General features: G+C 37.8%; 1 protein-coding gene across 3 annotated transcripts in view; it reads right to left on the minus strand.

Annotated features, from left to right (window-relative positions):
- The window catches only part of STRN (striatin), a 128839-nt gene that overhangs the window by 53512 nt on the left and 52115 nt on the right, over nt 1–23212 (minus strand). For all 3 annotated transcript variants that reach the window (XM_005264519.6, NM_003162.4, XM_011533073.3), the window contains exons 4-7: nt 14331–14409; nt 11375–11542; nt 8314–8449; nt 2689–2824 (exon numbers count right to left, since the gene is read on the minus strand). In XM_005264519.6, the coding sequence (XP_005264576.1) occupies nt 2689–2824; nt 8314–8449; nt 11375–11542; nt 14331–14409 (519 nt within the window). The remainder of the gene's footprint in view (nt 1–2688; nt 2825–8313; nt 8450–11374; nt 11543–14330; nt 14410–23212) is intronic.

Here is a 23212-nt window from a genome sequence, read left to right on the forward strand (position 1 = left end):
TCAACAAGAAGAGTCATTAAAAGATTCAACAAATGGGACAGGCCTAGTGGCTCATACCTGTAATCCCAGCGCTTTGGGAGGCCAAGGCAGGCAGATCATTTGAGGCCAGCAGTTCAAGACCAGCCTGACCAACATGGTGAAACCCTGTCTCTACTAAAATACAAAAAATAGCCGGGCGTGGTGGCAGGCGCCTGTAATCCCAGCTACTCTGGAGGCTGAGGCAGGGAACTGCTTGAATCCAGAAGGCGGAGATTTCAGTGAGCCAAGATTGCACCACTGCACTCTAGCCTGGGCAACAGAGTGAGACTCTGTCAAAAAAAAAAGATTCAACAAATGCCCTTATTATAATGGTTTCTGATAAGTAAGGCGGGGTTGAGTCTACTTTGAATGCAAGGCAGAAAAATTAGCAACATAACATAATATCTCTTGTAGACCTTGTGCCACTGGGATTGTTCAATATTTACAGAGGAAGAACATTTCCTTGAGGTAAGCACAAATTAGTTTTACTGTAAAATGTTTCAGATGGAAAAAAGTTTACAAAAAATCTATTTTTGTCTGTTAAAAACATTAGGAAACCTTTTCCTTGAACTTATCTAGGAGAGTTTTCTTATCAGTCACTACATATAATGACCAAGCAATCATGAAGGAGAAAAAAGTTCAACAGAATTTTTAAATGAATGAGAGAAGGAAAAGGTATCTTACTTTTTTTCATTTTGGCTTTAGAACTCTTTCATTTTTCCTTCAGAGAAGAAATATACCAAAAAAATAGGGATTTAATTAGTATTTCTGATGTGTGTAACTAAAAACGTAAAAAAAGTTCTTCATTTTAAGTAAAACACACTAAGTAACATTTAGACAGAATTAATACCTGTGTCCCAGTCTTACAGGCTGTGTTCTAGTTCTCGAAGGTATATTAGAATCTGTATTTATCCTAAGTAAATTAACATAGAAACAGAAAACCAAATACTACATGTTCTCACTTATAACTGGGAGCTAAACAGTAGGCACTTAGGGACATAAAGATGGCAACAAAGACACCTGGGACTACTAGAGGCAGGAGGCAGGGAGGGCAGTAAGCGCTGAAAAACCAACTGATACGTAAGGGTACTATGCTCAGTACATGGGTGACAGTATCATTTACACCCTGAACTGCATCATCACGCAATATACCCAAGTAACAAACCTGCAAATGTACTCCCAAAACTGAAAGTTGAAAAAGAAAAAAACAAACAAAAAACAAAAAAACACTATTTATAAATAGGGTAATCTGTATAATTTGGGACATGTATCTTTTTTATTGAGAAGAACACTCAATATTGAAAAGATAACAATTAGCTGCAAATTATTTACATATATATGAAACTAAAATCTAATCTTCAGTTATTCACACAACATGAAGAAATAATTTTAAAATTCATATGGAGAATTCAAGTTCAAACATCATGAAAGGCTGGACCCAAACCAACAGATCCCTATCCTCTTCTGGGAAGAACATAATATAAAACCTAACTTTAAAAAAGTAAATACAAGGCTGGGAGCAGTGGCTCATGCTTGATATCCCAGCACCTTGGAAGGCCGAGGCAGGCAGATCACCTGATGTTAGGAATTCGAGACCAGCCTGGCCAACATGGTGAAACCCTGTTACTACTAAAAATACAAAAATTAGCCAGGCCTGGTGGCGCACACTGTAGTCCCAGCTACTCAGGAGGCTGAGGCATGAGAATTGCTTGAACCCGGGAACTGGAAGTTGCAGTGAGCCAGGATCACGCCACTGCACTCAAGCCTGGGTGACAGAGTGAGACTCGGTATCAAAAAGCCACTGCACTCCAGCCCGGGTGACAGAGTGAGACTCGGTATGAAAAAAAAAAAAGTAAATATACTGCTGAGCTAGAAAGAAAAACAATGAAAACTTTCAGGTGCCAGTAATAAAGCATAAACATAGCAGATCCTGCTGCTGCAACTCAGTCCTGGCTATAAGCCTTAATGCCTGTATAAAAAGTCAATATACAACTCTAAGTAAGATTTCTTTATATATGTTACAGACAATTAAAAATGTAATTTCAGTATGGCACTGCTTTCAATAGCAAAAAAAACCCCTAAGCGTACTTTTAACGATTTATGCACAACATTTTTACAGGAAAAATTAAATGACCTTTTTTTTATGAGACGGATTTTCCCCAAAATACTTGTTTCAACTCTTATTAGGTGTTTAAAATATTTGATTTTTTAGAACATTTTGAGAAGAAAAATTCTATGCCTTTTACGAACTGTCAAATCTTTATGATAAATGACTGACTACAATTTTTTAACTCATACTTCTTTTCGCATGTAAGATGTCAGCAATGAGATCTCCAAAAATCCTCCAACTAAAGTCTCATAATCAATTTCCACAAAAATCTAGATTTGCAAGTTCCACTGTCTAAACAGAAAACAGAGAATATTCTGTATAGTAATTCAAATTCTTTTCATACTGTATTGTTGTTGTTTTTTTTTCTTTTTAAATGAGGTAGTTATACAATGTTCCTTAAACATACACACACATTCACCCTGGATAAAGGGTGCTAGTAGTAATAAGTTCACAGAATGCTCAATATTTCAACATTATAGTTAAGATGTTGCCCTCCTGGTAAAATATTAATTTCTTTTATTTACTTAACATCTCTGGTTGGATCCAGTATGCTTCCTTACCCCAGTCTGTTCCATCGCCTGCACTTCTAGATTCATTGTCTCCTTCCTCTGATGTAACCAAGAAGTCAAACTCCTTTAGAGCTTCTTTTGTATCTCGATCTTCACCGCTGTCAGGCAATGCTTTTTTCCTAACAATCTAATGAAAAAACATGCTAAATTAAATAAAGGAGATAGTTTCCCTTTACCACTGAATAAGAAAATTCAATTATTTTCTTCAGAAAGTATACGTTTGTTGTGTTAAATAACTGTACTACCTAACTCAGTGAAAATCACATAGTTTTAAAAAATATGTACATTATAAATTTTAAAGCAGTAATTTAAACTTTGCTCAACGGTATTATGGCTTGTTTTAAGTAAACTAACGGAACCACATACTGAAATATAAGACATGTACTGAAATGACAGATATACGATTTACAAGGTTCCCATAATTATTTCTACTGTCCTAACCTTGCATCAGTTTTCTCTAGTAGCTCTCCATGTATTTATTTTTTTCCCTAAAATGTTGATCTTTCAGAGTACATCTAACTTAGATTTAACAACAAATTGGTAAAGGTTGCTATGGTTCATTTTTCTATATTTAGAAATAACTCTGGAATCACAAATCCAATTGAAGGGCTAAAACTTAAGCTGAATACATGCAGGGACAATTTTTGTGATCTACATGCCTAAGCTCTTTATGAACTGTCTCCATCTCAGTCACCTTTACCAACATGGGCCTAAAGAAATTAGGATGCTAGGTTTGCATTTTCTTTGAATAAGATTTCAATATCTCAGTTTCTCTAGACTTCAGCTTACTCACTTCATGCAAAACAGAAATAACATGATAGGATCAAATGTTATCGCTGGGCTATTGTGAGTGGCTTAAAATTATAAAAGTTTTACAGACAGACCAATAGGATAGACTAGAGAGTTGAGAAGTAGACCCCAAAGATGACAAACACGTGACTTGTATGGCCCTGTTCCCATGCTGTTAATTGGTATCATTCATCAATCACAGCATTCTTCTTCAAAAACAAGATACAGCCTCAGAAATCCTTCTCAGTACAGCACTCCAAGAAGCCACTACCAACAGAACAAAGGTGGCATCATAAACAACTCCTATCTAGCCTTAACTGTCCTGATACATATAAAAACTGTAAAGGAGTGGCCGGGCCCGGTGGCTCATGCCTGTAATCCCAGCACTTTGGGAGGCCGAGGTGGGTGGATCAAGAGGTCAGGAGATCGAGACCATCCTGGCTAACACGGTGAAACCCTGTCTCTACTAAAAAGACAAAAAATTAGCCAGGCATGGTGGCAGGCACCTGTAGTCCCAGCTACTCGGGAGGCTGAGGCAGAAGAATGGCGTGAACCTGGGAGGCAGAGCTTGCAGTGAGCCAAGATCGCGCCACTGCACTCCAGCCTGGGCGACAGAGCAAGACTCCGTCTAAAAAAAAAAAAAACACAATTGGATAGGAGAAATCAAAGGATTATTTAATGATGCTAGAATAATTTGTTTAACTATTTGGGATATTTTCCTAAAATCAAGAAATACTTCTATGCTTACAGCACCTCCCAATCTACCATCTAGCAAATCTATTAGACAAACAAACAAAAAAAGCAAGATCAGTGTGGCAGACTGGGAACAGAAAACCCGTGCTGAATGTGTATTCTTTTATAAATACAAACCATATTCTAATAATCTATTCTAATTTTCCCTAGGTAGCCAGACTAAGGTAGAAAGGTGTATCTGGGCCAGGTACGGTGGCTCATGCCTGTAATCCCAGCACTTTGGGAGGCCGAGATGGGTGGATCACGAGGTCAGGAGGTGGAGACCCTCCTGCCTAACATGGTAAAAACCCCGTCTCTACTAAAAATACAAAAAAAAAAAAAAAAAATTAGCGAGGCATGGTGGTGGGCACCTGTAGTCCCAGCTACTCGGGAGGCTGAGGCAGGAGAATGGCGTGAACCCAGGAGGCGGAGCTTGCAGTGAGCTGACATCACGCCACTGCGCCCCAGCCTGGGTGACAGTGCGAGACTCCATCTCAAAAAAAAAGAAAAAAAACAGGTGTATCTGAAGAGTTATGCCAACAGGACACCCCAATTCTCAGAGTTCCACATATAAATATATTGCCTAATCTACCTTCTTTTACCCTAGAGGCTTAATCCCTCCATCTTCTAGACTCTGATGAGTTGCCAGCTGTAATTCAGAGGGACCACCACCAACATCTTACAGAGTCCTCGTTCTCACTGCCTGACAAAAAGAGCAGGCAAAATCCATAAGAAGCATGTGGAACCTCAAATTCCAAGTATGAATATATTTTCAACATTAAATATTAGGTATTAAGTAATAAAAGCAACTCTTGGGGGGAAAAACTTGTTTCTAGTCTCACCACCTCAGTATAACCTTACAAAGAATAAAGATAAATGACATTTATTACTGTCATTGCAGATTACTATTTACTAAGTATCTCACTTTAAATAAATAAACCAAAAGTCCTCTGCTTTTAATGTTTGGGTAGAGAAGAAAAATGAATTGTGTTTACCACTGGAGAACAGGATCAGAATCGGAAGAGGTAGAGTTTGTAATAATAAGCATGTATTACTTTTCTTCCTGACATAGAAGGTTCCACTCCACTTCTACCTTCGATGAGCTTATAAATCAATTTAGGAAATTAAGAGAAAACCAAAGAAGTTATGGGTTGCACAGGATGCCTAAGTAGATTAGAAAAATGAATAAACTGTCACTTCAAAAACCATTAGGAGGGCCATGACACAAGGGGACGTGGGATTCTTTATACTGTGGCTAAAAAAAATAGTTAATAGCTCTTAGTTCCATTCTTTTTCCTCCTAAAGTTCCTGAATGTGGAGACTAAATGCTGCTGCAGAAGTTAGGCTTCACACAGTTTGAAACTGATCACTTTTTACATGCATGTATAATCTCAGAGTTGTTATTACACTTAACTGGTGATGACGAGAATACTGATAATGATGGCAAAGAAAAATAAGGGCCAAGTGCAGTGACTCACACCTGTAATCCCTGCACTTTGGGAGGCCAAGGCAGGCGGATCACCTGAGGTCAGGAGTTCGAGACCAGCCTGACCAACATGGAGAAACCCTGTCTCTACTAAAAATACAGCATCAGCCGGGTGTGGTGGTGCATGCTTGTAATCCCAGCTACTCGGGAGGCTGAGACAGGAGAATTGCTTGAACCCAGGAGGCGGAGGTTGCAGTCAGCTGAGATTACACCACTGCACTCCAGCCTGGGCAACAAGAGTGAAACTCCGTCTCAAAAAAAAAAAGAAAAATAAAATAAAATAACATTTTTAAAACTTGTTCTACTTGACATTTTAATAGGATAACTTTCAGCTTTTCCTATAGAATGCAGTAAGTTATGCTTATTCACTGCTACACAGAATTAGGTTGTTAAAGTCCTTTTCGGCATATAGCTATGTGAGTGTAGCTGTGCAAATTAATGTAATATAATGTAAAAAATAAGCAAAACTGTTAAAACCAGTGATTTGCTTAGAAATATTTTTTTCCAAAAAAAACTAAAAAATATATATATATTTTTTTTTTGAGACAGTCTCGCTCTGTCACCCAGGCTGGAGTGCAGTGGCGCAATCTCAGCTCACTGCAAGCTCTGCCTCCTGGGTTCACGCCATTCTCCTGCCTCAGCCTCCCGAGTAGCTGGGACTACAGGCACTCGCCACCATACCCAGCTAATTTTTTTTGTATTTTTAGTAGAGACAGGGTTTCACCGCGTTAGCCAGGATGGTCTTGATCTCCTGACCTAGTGATCCATCCGTCTCGGCCTCCCAAAGTGCTGGGATTACAGGTGTGAGCCACCGTACCCAGCCAAAACTAAAAAAATTTTTGAGTGCAGTAGCATGATCATGGCTCACTGCAACATCAAATTCCTGGGCTCAAGCGATCCTCCTTCCTCAGCCTCCCATGCAGTATCACACATGGCTAATTAAAAAAAAATTTTTTTTTTAGATATGGGGTCTTGCTATGTTGCCTAGGCTGGTCCCAAACTCCTGGCCTCAAGTGATCCTCCCACTTCAGCCTCCTGAGTAGCTGGGGTTACAGGCACAAGCCACTGCACGCAGCACAGAACTGCTATGATCTGCACTAATTAGAAGACAGTATATTTATTATGTTGTTTACTTAAAAAGACAACAGTCTATGGTTTAGGAATTTCTAGTAAGATCATATGTAACAGTTTTAATAATTAGTTTATAAATATTTTAAATATTTAAATTGATATCACTAACAGAAACATAGCATCATGATTCAAGGCATTATTTAATACTGAGCTATGAATAAAGTATTTTGATGGAAAAATAATATCTCAATGCCAGCATCCCACAGAAATCACAAGGGACTACCCAATTTCCAGATGATCAGGACACAGAAAAAGTGTCATTGAAATTTAGGCTTTTCCTTTTACTATGGTAAATTAAGACACAGGCTATTACTACTTCTTTGGATAAGAAAAATTGGAAGTTACTACTTGAATTTCAAATAATTTCCAAGGCAGGGCTTTACCAGTAGAGTACTATTGAATAGTCGTGATGGAAAACAATAATCTGGTAGTAATAATTTGAGTCTCTGATGGAGCCTCAGAAGCAGAAGGCATAAAACACACAGAGGTTACACTTAGAAAGCACTTTATAGTTAAACAGATCATTTTCGCACATAGTGTCTCTTTGTTCCTCACAAAATCCTCCAAGGTTAAGATGGCTATTTATAACAATCCTCATTTTACAAATGAAAAAACTAAGCCTGAAGCATTAAGAAACACAAATAGTGGCAGAACTGGAGCTTAAACCCAAGTCTTTTAGTTAGAGGTCCGATCTGCTTTATATTACTTTACTTTCCTCCTCTCTATTCATAAATTAATGTGAAAGAGAAAATGCAAACATTTTCCTAGACAAAGTGAAACATGTCCTCATATCTTACTTTAAAAAGAAGGAAAAGGAGTAGGAGGAAGAAGGAAGGAGAGAGAGAAGGGAGAAGGGGAAGAGGGGAGAAAAGCGAAGAGAGAGGAAAAGGGGGAAAGAGGGAAGAAGAGAAGAAAATGGAGAAGGGAAGAGAAAGAAGTGGCTACTTCGAGACATCTCTCATTCCAAGAACCTGCCATGGGAAAGTCAATAAGCTTATCAACATCTGAACAAAACTTGAGAAGAACCCTAAACAATTTTGAAGAACTCTAATGGAAGAGTTCTGAAAGTTTGCCTACCAAAACAATCCTGACAAGAGACAAAAACTGCATATATTAGAGCTGATGCTAGCTGCCATCAGGCACCATGATGTGTCTGTCAATTCTATTCTCTTGTAACAACCAATAACCCTGCATTGTTATAACACACAATATTTACTATATTCATCTGCCCCATAGAAAAGTTGTCCTGTTCAATGAATGAACAAAAAGTCAAACAGTGAGGAATTTCAAGAGAAAGCTACTATATTAAAAATATTCTCAACTTGAAATCAGTATTACAAACTCTCATAAATGTCTCCAAATTCATGAAAAAGAAAAAGCTACGGGTTAAGATTAAAGAACATGGATTCTTTTATGCATTATACAGTATGTATTATAGTCCCTAAAAATATTTATATTGTATGAGTTATCTAACTCACTGTTGAAGTATCAATGACGCTTTTCTCTCTTCCATCAACATCATCATCTTCATCTTCATCACTGAAATCTGCAGCTGCACTTTCAAGGAATTTGAAATTATCCAGCACGGAGGCAGAATCTGTTAACTCAGATTTTCTGGTGTAAAACATGTATATCCTGCTTAGTTAATCTTTTTAACTTCGACATAAGAAGTAACCCATGATATGTTACATCAACTTCTATTTATATGGTAACTATAAATCCCAAATCACATTATCTACATTGATTCTTATCAATTACACTCTCACAAATTTAAAAAGCAATACAAGAAGTGGATACTCTTTAAGTACTTTGTAATCCTATCTATCTACTTGCCTGCCTACCTACCTACCTATCTACCTGGAGACAAAGTCTCCGGGCTCTGTCACCCACGGTAGAGTGCAGTAGCATGATCTAACTCACTCCAGTCTCCGCCTCCCAGGTTCATGCAATTCTCCAGTTTCAGCCTCCCAAGCAGCTGGGATTACAGGAGTGAGCCACCACACCCTGCTAATTTTTGTATTTTCAGTAGAGATGGGGTTCCACTATGTTGCCCAAACTGGCCTCTAATTCCTGAGCCCAAGTGATTCGCCCGCCTCAGCCTCAGCCTCCCAAAGTGCTGGGATTATAGGCGTGAGCCACTCGTATCTATTTAGATTAGTGGTAATCTAATGTAAAAAACTCCCCTTCCTGATTTATTATTATTTTGATCCTTACACCAACCTTAATGTATTTCATTTTAAAAATATTTTTATTATCTCTACCGCCGTTTTTCTCTACTCTTATTCTCTCTACAACTCTCCCTTTGACCTCTTACATAAGTTTACACAACTAAGAAAATAACAAGTATGTCATTTTTCTCTGATGCAATCTTGTATTTCTGCTTAACAGCTAAAGTAAAAGAGAAAATGTGTACATAAAGTTACTAACAGCAATACACTAGTCAAATTAACATTGCTACTAGACTCGACCCTGTTGATTAATAAGCCATTAATCTCTTAGAAATAGTTGAATTTTCAAATATATGACTTGAATTTAGTTCCCTCAAAATAAATTTAGTAAAGACTGGCTGGACGCAGTGGCTCACACCTGTAATCCCAGCACTTTGGGAGGCTGAGGCAGGCGGATCACGAGGTCAAGAGATTGAGACCATCCTGGCCAGCCAACATGGTGAAACTCCATCTCTACTAAAAATACAAAAATTAGCTGGGTGTAGTGGCGCATGCCTGTAGTCTCGGCTACTCGGGAGGCTTAGGCAGCAGAATCGCTTGAACCCGGGAGGCAGAGGTTGCAGTAAGCTGAGATCGTGCCACTGCACTCCAGCCCAGGTGACAGAGTGAGACTCTGTCTCTAAATAAATAAATAAATAAATAAATAAATTTAGTAAAGATTCCAATGGCCAGAACAGAAAGATTTATCTCCAGTTCATTAGGTAATCTTTTAGACAGAGAGCATTTTCCTGAAAAAAAAAAAAAATTGTAGAAACTACTATGGACAAAATTTTCAAAAGAGATCTATTTTAAATTTCAAATCTACTTACAGCTTTGTGTTTGGTATTACCCTCCCCTAACTCTTTATCCCTACTGAAATCGGACAGATTAGCAACAGTATCTTTGTCATTCTTAAAAGACAAATCAAGGCCAAAACACACAAGAGTGGTCTTCCCTCAAAGTCTTTACTGAAGGTTATTAAAGTATGCATTATAGTTCTTAAAAACATTTATACTATTGGCCAGGCGTGGGGGCTCATGCCGGTAATCCCAGTACTTCAGGAGGCCAAGGCGGGTGGATCATGAGGTCAAGAGATGGAGACCATCCTGGCCAACATGGTGAAACCGCATCTCTACTAAAAATACAAAAAATTAGCTGGGTGCGGTGGCACGCGCCTGTAGTCTCAGCTACTCGGGAGGCTGAGGCAGGAGAATGGCGTGAACCCAGGAGGCAGAGTTTGCAGTGAGCTGAGATGGCGCCACTGCACTCCAGCCTGGGTGACAGAGCGAGACTCCGCCTCAAAAAAAAAAAAAAAAAACATTTATACTATCTAAGTTAACTTGATGACTTACATTAAACCCAGAACATAAAAACAGAACTAAAGATAATGTCCACACAGTCTATATCTATAGAGAAATAACATGCCTTACATTTACAAATATAAGTTAATGTATGTTTTTAATACAGCCTACAAAGTTGGAAATGTATTCTTAATTATTAATGAATACATTTTAAGGCTCCAAGGAACTTTGCTTATAAAAGTCCTACAGTGAACCTTTACCTAATCCCATAATTTTAATTTATATTCCAAATAGCAGGAACTATCTTCTTGCTAGAAAATTTATAGAGTTCAATTAAAACCATTCTTCCTTCCTAAACAAGTGTCAAAATAAAAGTCATACTTAAACATTCACAGAATTTTTGGCTTTTTATTCAATTAACAATCACGGAAATTTTTTCCCAATAAATAAGAATCTCTTTATTGAACTGTTTATGATTATTTTAAGTAGAATCATATGTAATTGTATGATACATAATCCAAAATGGAAAACAAAATATTTCAAATAGCTACTGAATTGTTCACACTTACGCTGTCACTTCAAAATAGCTACTTAAAATAGATATTTTATATCAAAGATAAATTACAACATTAATAGATAAACAAAAGTGGTTAAAAAACAGTGTTACTTCTACAGAATTTGAGGTATTTTTACGACTTCTGGATCACCAATCATGAAACGTCATTCTTACAGATTTGTACTGAATTTCCAAATAAAATCTTTTCTGAAGTTTTATTTACTGATTAAGTCAATATACTAAAATCTATTAAATATCTGTATTAAATAAATATCACAAATAATATTCTTGAATTAAAATAGTCATAAATAACTCCAATCCTTGTTACCTTCTAACCAAATAAAATGTTAGAATTTTTATTAAGTTATAAATTATTTCTATGTCACTACCTAAAAGTACAAGTAATGTCCATAAAACCAAAAATATTTAATAAGAACTAATAATAGCTAAAACACTTTCCAGACAAAATACTTACGCAATCATTGCTGTCTCTTTAACTTCAGCCTCTGTGCCATTTACAACTGAGTCCTGATTTTTGTCATCTTCCCTGTCCGTGACATCACTTGAAAAGCCCAACAAAGCTCGCACTCGTTTAGATTTCACATCTAGAATAGTATCTGTATAACCCACCTCCTGTAGATACCTGTGTGAAGAGAATCCTTAGAGTTCAGTCATACTGGAATCAGTATTCTATAATTTAATATGTAAATAAAAGTATTTATTTAAACTCATTGCCTGCATAAGACTTAACAGTACAGTACTATGCTAGTAAGACTTGTTAATAAATAATCTTCCAGCTGCAGATGGAGCTGTCTCTTGCAGTACCAGCCTCTACAGTCACTGAGAAAAATGAGAGAACTATACAATACACCATTCATTACATTTACCATAAGAAGAAGCTGGTCTTTAATATATCTAATAGCACATTCTTTTCTTTAGGCTGGATTGGAGCTAGACTACCAAATCAGTATTTTATAATAGTTATTCCGGTAGTTTTTTTAAATTTGTCATGGATCAACTGTTTGTGATCTAGACAGAATGTTCCTAGCATATATCGTCTCCTTCATTACACACAAGGTAGTTATTTCTCGAGTCACTCTACAGAATTGAAGCTCCTATCCTGAGACAACTTTAAAATAAAAATAGACTGCAATTAAATTGTAGAATGTAGGGGGTGTGTGTACACATGTGTGTGTATGTTACTGAAAGGCAGCAACACAAAAAAAGAGCAAAGGCTTTGTATTGAGAGCTAGATCTAGGTCCTGTTTCTGCCACTTACTTGCATAACTTTAATTCTCCTGAACCTCAGTTTTCTATCCTTTAAAACAGACACACCTAATATTGTACCTGGCATATAGAAAGGACTCAATACCTACTAACACCAAAGTTGACCAGAACAGACCAAAAGTGGCAGTGGGAAGACCATGAAAAAGGTAAATGCCATTAATAAAAACGACAGACAAACATCGGACATTAACTTATAAGTAGGCACCGAGTCTACTGGATGAAAGAAGAAAACAAAGGTTGACGAGATAACCAGTTTAAGTTCAGTTTATTAACAAGATTTGGTCTTAGTTATTATAGCTGAAAGAGTTATCTCAGAAATATATGTGATCAAAGGGAGTAAGTGTATCTTACCAAATCAAGATGCTCATTTTTCAATCCCATCCAATATTTATAGAAAGGTCTCGATTAAAATTTGGATAATAAATTCCCAACTTTCCTAAATTTAAAGTTCTTGAAAACGGCTTTAAAGATGTTATATTTTTCCATTTTTAACAAATAATATTTGAGACATACCTCACTTTGGCAACAAAATCACATTACAAATACCTGTTTCAAAACTGCTCTTGCCATAGAAAAGCTGGTTTTACTCAACAGTTACTTCCTCATTCATTGATAAAATGACACCTTTACTCAGAAGAGTTGATTATGGGTCCTTTGAAGTTTTTGAAAATATCTCTTGGATAGCTCATTATGAAATCATTTTTTGTTTAAAAAAAGATTAACATTCTAAGAACACATCTATTTTAAAAAGGAAGATGTATAAATCATATTTAAGATCAAAGTGTGGGCATTAGTAAAAATTTACTTATTAAATATCAGAAAATATCTCATTTTCTTGTAACTATCTAGATCAAAAAATACATATGCAAAGACATTTTAAGATTCTCTTTCCGTAGTCAAAAGTAATAGCTGCTATACATCCACTTTGGAAACCTTGGGTTTAAACAACTTATAATCAACCTCCAAAAAACCAGGTAGTACATTTCATTTTACTGAGGCACAAATCTGAATATGAGTTTCAAAGGTGGTATTCAAGAACCAGGCACTGAGCTGGTGAGTCTAGTCTACCTCTTGATATCAGAACCTCAACCCATCATTGTTTACTCTTTATTGTCTCAAATACATATTAATATTTTATGGAAGAAAGTTGACCGGGCATGGTGGCTCACACCTGTAATCCCAGCACTTTGGGAGGCCGAGGTGGGGAGATCACTCGAAGTCAGGAGTTCGAGATCAGCCTGGCCAACATGGCAAAAACCCATCTCTACAAAAATACAAAAAAATGAGACAGGCATAGAGGCACACACCTGTAGTCCCAGCTACCCGGGAGGCTGACGCAAGAGAATCACTTGAGCCCAGGAGGCAGCAGTTGCTGTAAGCCAAGATTGTGCCACTGGACTCCAGCCTGAGCGACAGAGTGAGACTCCATCTCAAATGAATGACTGAATGAATGAATGAATGAATGAATGAAATATATGTTAGGCAATATTTGCAAATTTGGAGAATTCAAAAAGTTCTCCAATTATTTAAAAGTTTTAAAACATAACAAAATTGCATGTAAACACCAATTGCACTTTTTTTTTTTTTTTTTGAGATGAAGTTTCGCTCTTGTTGCCCAGGCTGGAGTGCAATGGCGCGATCTCGGCTCACTGCAAACTCCACCTCCCGGGTTCAAGCAATTCTCCTGCCTCAGCCTCCCAAGAAGCTGGGATTACAGGCATGTGCCACCACGCCCGGCTAATTTTGTGTTTTTAGTAGAGATGGAGTTTCACCATGTTGGTGAGGCTGGTCTCAAACTCCTGACTTCAAGTGATCCATCCACCTTGACCTCCCAAAGTGCTGGGATTACAGGTGTGAGCTACTGCGCCTGGCCAATTGCACATATATTAAAATGTTATATATTCATACATAAAATATGCAATGAAAAGAATAACTTTAAAGTTATAAAATTCTTTTAACTACGTAAGTTCTACCACACAGAAAAAGTATTTAATATGAAAAAGGAACAGTAATTCAATTAAGCTTTTTCACAGCATCTGTATGAGATAAAATATTCATCTGACTTGAAAATACACAGTAAAAATAACTTCATAAAACTGTTTCTTGTCTTCAGCCATTTATAAGTTTCACCATGAGACACTTACTGTCTGAGTAGTTGTCGACCTTGTTTCCACATTAACTGGCTGTTTTGTTGTGGCTGCACTTCTGTTTCATTACCTTCATCTAGAAAACATTAAGTCATAATAAAACTGACTTGTTTTACGTATTAGAGGGCATCTTAATTCATTAATAACGTCCAATAAACATTTATAAGATTAAGAATATGTAAAACTGCAACTGTAAGGTATGTGTTAGGATAATGTAAGTTCTGTTTTTTAACTGTAATTTCTATAACAAAACTCTAATATAAATTATTGCTACTGGATTTCCCTAAGAGTAGCAGAACTAAAATAAATACATTTTCCCTGTCTTTAACTAGACTAAGAATTTTTCTCCAGAACAAAGACTTATCCCATCAAGTCACACAATGAGAGCCAAATAAAAGTATTATAAAGTAGCACATCAGAACTAGAACAAGCCAATAATAACAATAATTGAACATTTAAAAATAACTAAGGGTATAACTGGATTATTTGTAACACAAAGGATAAATGCTTCAGGGGATGGATACCCCATTTTCCATGATGTGACTAGTACACATTGCATGCCTCTATCAAAACATCTCATGTACCCCATAAATATATACACCATGTACCCACAGAAATTAAAAATTAAAAATAAATAATAACTGGGCATGGTGGCTCACGCCTATAATCCCAGCAATTTGGGAGGCCAAGGCAGGTGGATCTCTAGAACCCAGGAGTTTGAGACCAGCCTGGGCAACATGGAGTAAACCCTGTCTCTACAAAAAAAATTATCTGGGCATAGTGGCACGCAGCTGTGGTCCCAGCTACTAGGGAGGCTTAGGTGGGAGAATCACCTTAGCCTGGGAAGACGAGGCTGCAGTGAGCTGTGATCGTGCCACTGTACTCCAGCCTAGGCAACAGAGGGAGGCTCTGTCTCAAAACAATGAATGAATGAATGAATGAATGAATGAGTAACAAATAAATAATTTTTTTAAAAAAAGAACTAGAACAAAATACTGAGGAATGATGGTAGAAGAGCCAATTTGGTAAAGAGCAGATATATAACAACCTCAATCCAAACCTGTTTCCTTCATTAGCTATTACATTTAAAAACTTCAGGTAGGCCAGGCGTGGTGGCTCACACCTGTAATCCCAGCACCTTGGGAGGCCGAAGCGGGTGGATCACTTGAGGTCAGGAGTTTGAGACCAGCCTGACCAACATGGCAAAAAACCCCATATCTACTAAAAATACAAAAATTAGTGGTGGTGGGTGCCTATAATCCCAACTACTCGGGAGGCTGAGGCAGGACAACCCCTTGAACCCAAGAAGCGGAGGTTGCAGTGAGCCGAGATGATTGCGCCATTGCACTCCAGCGTGGGCGACAGAGCAAGACTCCATCTCAAAAAACAAAAAAAACAAAAAAAAACCCTCAAGTATTCTTTTAATGACATTCTTTGAATGAAAACCTCCTAAGCATTTTAACGCTTAAATTCATCACTAGGTAAAACCAGAATCCTTTTTAGAAGGTGATAAAATAAAAAGAGCTTTCCCTATGGTAAGTCTGGACTGTACAATCTCCAAGCTATACTATGGTTCTACATTAACAGTACAAAAAAAGTGCATACTTTCCTCAGCCCTTGATCAAACTCTAAAAAACTGCTGATCTTTATAGGATCTTATTCAAGTGGAGATACAATAGGGACTGGAAAAATTTATTTGGTGACATTTGAAATTAAGTATTTACGGGACAGGCACAGTGGCTCACACCTGTAATCCCAGCACTTTGGGAGGCCAAGGTGGGCGGATCACAAGGTCAGGAGACAGACACCAGCCTGGCTAACGCGGTGAAATCCTGTCTCTACTAAAAATACAAAACCTTAGCCAGGCGTGGTGGCACATGCCTGTTTCCCAGCTACTCAGGAGGCTGAGGCAGAAGAATCGCTTGAACCTGAGAGGCGGAGGTTGCAGTGAGCCGAGATGATGCCACTGCACTCCAGCGTGGGTGACAGAGCAAGACTCTGTCTCAAAAAAAAAAAGAAAGAAATTAAGTATTTACTACATACTGTGTTAAAAACACATACATTATCTCTTTTATTCCTTACAACCTCAAAGATAGGTACTTAGCCTCATTTTAAAGATAAGAAAGCTTGAGTTTTGGAAGGCAATTTTCAGGTTTTTTAGTTAGAAACACAATTGTAAGTGTTGAATTTCTGTTTCACTCCAGAGCCCCAGCATTTTCCTTCACATGCTATCACTACAATAAGAAATTAGAGAAATACATGAATAAAAATAAGCATTAAATCTTCCAAGTTTGTTTTTCTTCTAAAAGAACTCTAAAATAACTAGGCTTAGTTCTGTGATATACCAAAGAAACAGACTGGAAAGGCAGGTAGAAAATAAGGGGAATTAAATTAACTCCAAAAAGAAGCTAATTACTCTGTGATAACTTCAAAGAGAAAATAAATTAAAAAAAATAAAAAATAAAAAAAGAAGGGAGCAAAAACGCTGCCCCCAAACTAAGGGAAAACAAATACATCTTGTTTCCACTGACCGCAAATTCAGGATCTGTGCAGGTAACATAGTATGTTCCAATATACCCCCTTCTTAAGTCAAGTGAATAACCTGTACTTGCCAAGTAAAAACATTTACATTGCCATTTCAAGACTTCAGATGTTAAATGAAGTTCTGAGGTCATTAAATCTCCCATCAGAATAGGGCTAAATCCTTTCTATGCCATCCTCAAATATACTCAACTACTTCTGCCTATTTTGGCAGCCAGTGACATTACAAAAAAGTGTGATACAGCAAATCAATGGAATACTACTCAAGAAGAACAAGGAATGAATTACTGATACAAACATACATAAATCTCAAATGCATTATTCTAAGTGAATAAGCCAGAATCGAAAGGCTACAATCTGTAAGATTCTGGAATTCATATGACTTTCTAGAAAAGGCAAAACTACAGAAATGGAAAACAGACTACTGGTTGCCAGGGGATTAGCGTACGGAGGGAGAGATTTGTGAAAACACTAAAAAGGGTGACTTTTATGATATGTAAATTATATCTTAATAAGAATCAAATAAGAATGTACCCTATCCTCTTAAAAAAAAGTGTATTCTTACACTGAGATAAAATCTGACCCTCTAAGTAACATCTGAGGTTATGGCTGGGCCGCAGTGGCTCATGCCTGTAATACCAGCACTTTGGGAGGCCGTGGTGGGCGGATCACTCAAACCCAGGAGTTTGAGACCAGCCTGGCCAATATGGTGAAACTTCATCTCTACTAAAAATACAAAAGTTAGTTGGAGGCTGGGTGCGGTGGCTCGTGCCTGTAATCCCAACTACTCAGGAGGCTGAGGCAGGAGAATCACATGAACCTGGGAGGCAGAGGTTGCAGTGAGCCAAGATCACATCACTACACTCCAGCCTGGGCGACAGAGCAAGCCTCTATCCCCACCCCCAAACACCCCAGAAAAAAAAATAGCTGGGCAAGGTGGCGCATGCGTGTAATCCCAGCTACTAGGGAGGCTGAGACAGGAGAATCATTTGAACCAAGGAGGCGAAGGTTGCAGTGAATCGAGATTGCACCACTGCACTGCAGCCTGGGCAACAGAGCTAGAGACTTCATCTCAAAAAAAAAAAAAAAAAAAATTCAGGTTAAAAAAAGAAACCCAAAGTCAAATAGCTCTTATATTTCCTTACTCAGGCTAAGCTCGCAGTTCTTTCCATGGTTAGTAAGCAGTCATTAACTATCACATTCATTCTTGCCTTGTCAAGTTCAAAAAGTGACATTATATAAAAGTGAGGATTTTAATATAGATAATAGTTGAATTTCTCGGTAATATCGAAAGTATTTGACTGCTATTTCCTGTCAAATTAGGGTAACAGACACTAGATTTACCGTCCTGCTGAACCAACTATAAAACAAAACAGACGATAAACAATGGTTTTCAAAACACTGGACACCATGCAACAAAGGACAGTAATAACTGAGAGAAGGGGAAAGCAAACAGGTAAGCCTCATGATTATCCCAGACACCACCTAGAGAGAGTTTCCAGATCATAGCACAGGGAGGAACAAAAACAGTATTTGAAGAAATAATGGCTGAAAAGTGCCAAATTCCATGAAAACTATAAACCCATAGATCCAAGGAACTCAATAAATCCCAAGCATAAGAAATATGTAGAGAGGGCTAACTACACCAGGGCATATCATAATAAAATCATTTAGAACCAATGATAAAGAGAAAATCTTAAAAGCAGCCAGAGAAAAAGGTCACATTATACACAGAGGAACAAAAATAAGGGCAACAGGAGATATCTCATCAGAAATAATGCCTATGAGCAAAATAAAGACTTTTTCAGGCCGGGCGCAGTGGCTCACGCCTGTAATCCCAGCACTTTGGGAGGCCAAGGTGGGCAGATCACCTGAGGTCAGGAGTTCTAGACCAGCCTGGCCAACATGGTAAAACCCCATTTCTACTAAAAATACAAAAATTATCCAGGTGTGGTGGCAGGCGCCTGTAATCCCAGCTACTCAGGGGGCTGAGGCAGGAGAATCGCTTGAACCTGGGAGGCGGAGGCTGCAGTGAGCCGAGATCGTGGCGTCACACTCCAGCCTGGGGGACAAGAGCGAGACTTTGTCTCAAAAAAAAAAAAAAAAAAAGACTTTTTCAGACATACATAAGCTGCAAAAATTCATTACTTGCATTCCATATTACAAGACACGTGAGCGGAAGACTTTAAGGTTGAAGGAAAATAATATGGAAACACAGATCTACACAAAGGAATAATGAGTATTGGGAATTTTTTTTCATATTAGTATTTAAATATCTTTAAAAGACAAAAGACTGCTGGAAAAAAATAACAATGGAGTGTGTGGTTTATCACATACATAGAAGTAAAATGCATGACAACAATAGCACAAAGACTGGGAAGAGGAGAAACGGAAGTACACTATTATAAGGTTATTGTACTATCCATGAAGTGGTGTATTATCACTTGAAGACAGACTGTAATAAGTTAAAGATGTGCCTTGTAAGCCCTAAAGCAATTACTAAGAATTACTGCTAATAAGTCAGCAAAAGAGATAAAATTGAATCCTAAAAAATATTTGATAATTCAAAAGAAGCCTGAAAAAGAAGGAAAAGAAACAAGAACAGACTGAACAAAATGAATTACAAAGGTAGTAGCATTAACCTAACCATATCAATAATCATAAGTGCAAATGGTCTAAATTTCTCAATTAAAAGACAGAATTTATCACACTGGATATATTCAACTTTAAATAACTACCTGGCTTCTAATATTAAATAGGAGAGACTGAAATATCAAAAATAAATACATTTTAACATAGCCTGAGATAATACTCTCCTACAGTAGAAATATGAAGGTCTGGACGTGGGACAAAAAAAAATTAGAAAGGAAAAGCAAATTTTTGTGAAAAATGTTTCAGAAAATGTCTGGTTATCAGTTTTAGGAAAATATGGTAAATAGATAAAAGAACAAAGAATGCAAAAAAAAATCCCTGCTTCTTTAATGGTTATGCTATTTGAATATACCCTTTCTGCCACCTCCTAGTACTTATCACCATCATCTATAAATCCCTAGATAACCCTCCAAATCTGGCTCACATGTTTCTGCCACCAAACTTCTACATCATCTTGAGTGAAATCAATATGCATGTAGGAGATCCACTTCTGCCTCTCCACAGCCACCACCCTCTCTAGCTGTCATATCTTAGGTCTTATCATCATGAACAACTATGATAGATGCAAACTGATTGTCTGAGCAGACCAGTCAGGCTCAATTACTCCCAATTCATTAGTTCTTTTTTCTTTCTTTTTTCCCTAAATTTGCTAGTTCTTTAATTTAGCTGGGACCTCTAGCCAGGGGCCAGCACACTACTGCCTGCATGTCAAATCCAGCCTATCACCTGTTTTTATAGTACAGACACATCCATTCATTTATGTACCTTCTATGAATGCTTGCATGTGACAGTGGCAAAGTTGAGTAGCTGCAACAAACAGCCTGCAAAACCCAAAATATTTACTATCCGGCCCTTTACAGAAAAAGTTTGCTGACCTGCTCTAGACCAGAATCTACCCCCTTACTTTTAATTCACCCATTAGCCAGCCTCCTTGTGTCTTCACTTCCTTCCCTCTGTAGTTTTAGTTCATGGCTTATCACTTCAATCATTCCTTTGTCAAATTTTTTTGTCCCTTTTTCTCTCCGTGAATTCAACTATTAACTATCTGCATTCTCTTTTACTTTACCCAGACTACCAAATGTGCAGCCTAGTGCCTCTACATACACTCATGATCACACACCTCAACTGGACCCTTAGCTTTTCTCGATCCTACTATTCCCTAGAAAGTTAGTCTTCCTGTTTACCATTAGCATTTTAAACCTTCTCTACTTTTCTTAAACATCTGACCCACTCTCAGCAGATAATCCTATCTCATATATAAAGCTATCACTTGTGGACATTTCCTCAAATACCCACCACCAAACAGAAATCCAAATCTATAAACCTGTTAACCTAACTTCCTACATTCTCTCCTGGTAATGATAAAAGACATGCTCCTCCTGCCATTCTCCAGCTATGCTCAGAATCCAGTCCCTACCACCTTCTTCAGATTATCTTCCTATTTCGAGTATCTCTACTCTTTCCCTTTTATTGGTTACTCCTCTAAGACACACATCACACGTGTGCGTGAGAGTGTGCGCGCGCGCACACACACACTTTCCTTGACCCCATGTGTCCTTCCAGCTATTGCCCTCTAATCTCTCTCCTTCACCTTCACAACCTAAGCTTCCTGAAAGCTAACTATACCCACTTTATTTCTGCCCTCACCTCTCTCCTTAAGTTCTCAGTGTCCCATGTGTCACAAAGTCCTACAGATATTCTTCAGCCCTCTGAGAATTAACCAGTAGTGGTGAACAGTCCTTCCTTCTGGAAGCCCTCTCTTCTCTTGGTTTCCTTGGTCTCCTGGTTTTCCTCCTACTGTTAATGTACTCTGTATCAGACTCTTTTTCACGTTTCCGTTCTTCTACCAGTCTTTTAAATGTCATTCCTCAGGGCTCCATTTTTTGTAATCTTACCTCACATACAGCTCCTGGGTGACTGTTTCAACTCCAATGGCCTTGAGTGCCACCAGTACCATATGTTGATGCCTCTCAAATTTATGTCTCTAACACATCCATACTTCTGGCTTAAGCTCAAGACCCATATACTCAACTGTCTACTGGCCATCTTCACTTGGTTACCTAAGAAATAAATCCAAAAGTGAACCCACCATTTTCCAAATCTACTTCTGGTCTAGTTGTTTAAATTACAAATGTGGGAGTCACTTCTGACTCATCCTTTTTTCACCCCCTACATCCAATCAAGAAGTAGTTCCTGTGCTTGCCTTGGCAGCACATATACTAAAATTAGAATAATACAGAGAAGATCAGCATAAAATCAAATTTATGTATATATAAAAAGAACTAGTTCCTGCATATTTTACTTCCTAAATATTTCCTGAACACACCCTTGTCAAGGAAACCTTACTCATTTGCCCAGGTTTCTGCAACAATCCTCTAACCAGTTGCCCCATCTCCAACGTTGCTCCTCTCTAATCCATCTTCCACACTACAGCCCACGTAATCCAAGAGTAAATCTCATCATAAACCCCTAATTAAGATCCTTCAAATGCTTATTATATTCCTAAGCGTGAACTACTTAACATGTTTCACAAGGCCCTTGTAACTATTTTACCCCCCAGCTAACTCTCTATCTACATCTGGAAACATTCCTTCCCTCTCTCCCACTACTATCCAGGTATCCCATTTCTCAAATGTGCCAGTCTTACCTCAGAAGCTCTGCTGCTAATACTCTGCCTTTCTCCCACCTCCCATTCAACAAATAGTCAGTTTACTTGCCCTGGTTAATTCCTACTTGTCCTTCAGATGTCAAAATTAAACATCACTTCCTCCAAGAAGCCTTTCTTGACCACTTGACTAGGTTTGTGCTACTGCGCTCAATAGCACTTATTATTTATCCATTATACATGTCATATGTCATTGTAATCACTTCTTTAACTGTCTATCTTCCCTATAAAAATCCAACAGGGCATTGTTGTCTTATTCACTGGATTTGGTACTAGGTCTGAAAAACATTATATATATCATATTTATAAGATGAATGGATGGTTGGAAAGATACATGAAATGATACTAGGTACTAACTATTACATACTGAGAATAACTAGGTATTGTACACTAAGAAAATAAACATTTGAGTTAGGAAGTATTCCCAGAGTATTTCCTAGTTTACAGATCAGGAATGGAGTAACCATAGAGAAATTAAGTAGGATCACGGAAATTTAAAATGTTGGGGCAGAGTCAAACTTACATCTACCTGCTTTTAAAGCGCAAGCCCCTTCTACTGAGCTGCGCTGTTTACTTATAAACTTGATGATTTTTTTTTTTAAGAGACAGGATCTCACTCTGTCACTCAGGCTAGAGTGCAGTGGCACTATCTTAGCACACTATAACCTAACCTCAAACTCCTGAGCCCAAGTGATCCTTTCACCTCAGCCTCCCCAGTAGCTAGGACTACAGACATGTGCCACCATCCCCAGCTAATTTTTTAATTTTTTGGCAGAGACAGGGTCTTGCTACATTGCCCAGACTGGTCTCAAACTCCTAGCCTTAAGCAATCCTCCCACCTTGGCCTCCCAAAGTGGGATTACAGGCATTAGCCACTGCAGCCAGCCATGTTTACTTACAAACATTTAAAAAATATATTGCATCTAGGCTTCTATTCTCCTAAATTGATATCCAAAACTTATGAAAACTTTTAAATACAACACTAATTAAAATCACTCCTTTGAGTCAGTTAATATAGTTT

This window comes from Homo sapiens, chromosome 2, assembly GCF_000001405.40.
Source record: "Homo sapiens chromosome 2, GRCh38.p14 Primary Assembly".
Taxonomy (NCBI): domain Eukaryota; kingdom Metazoa; phylum Chordata; class Mammalia; order Primates; family Hominidae; genus Homo; species Homo sapiens.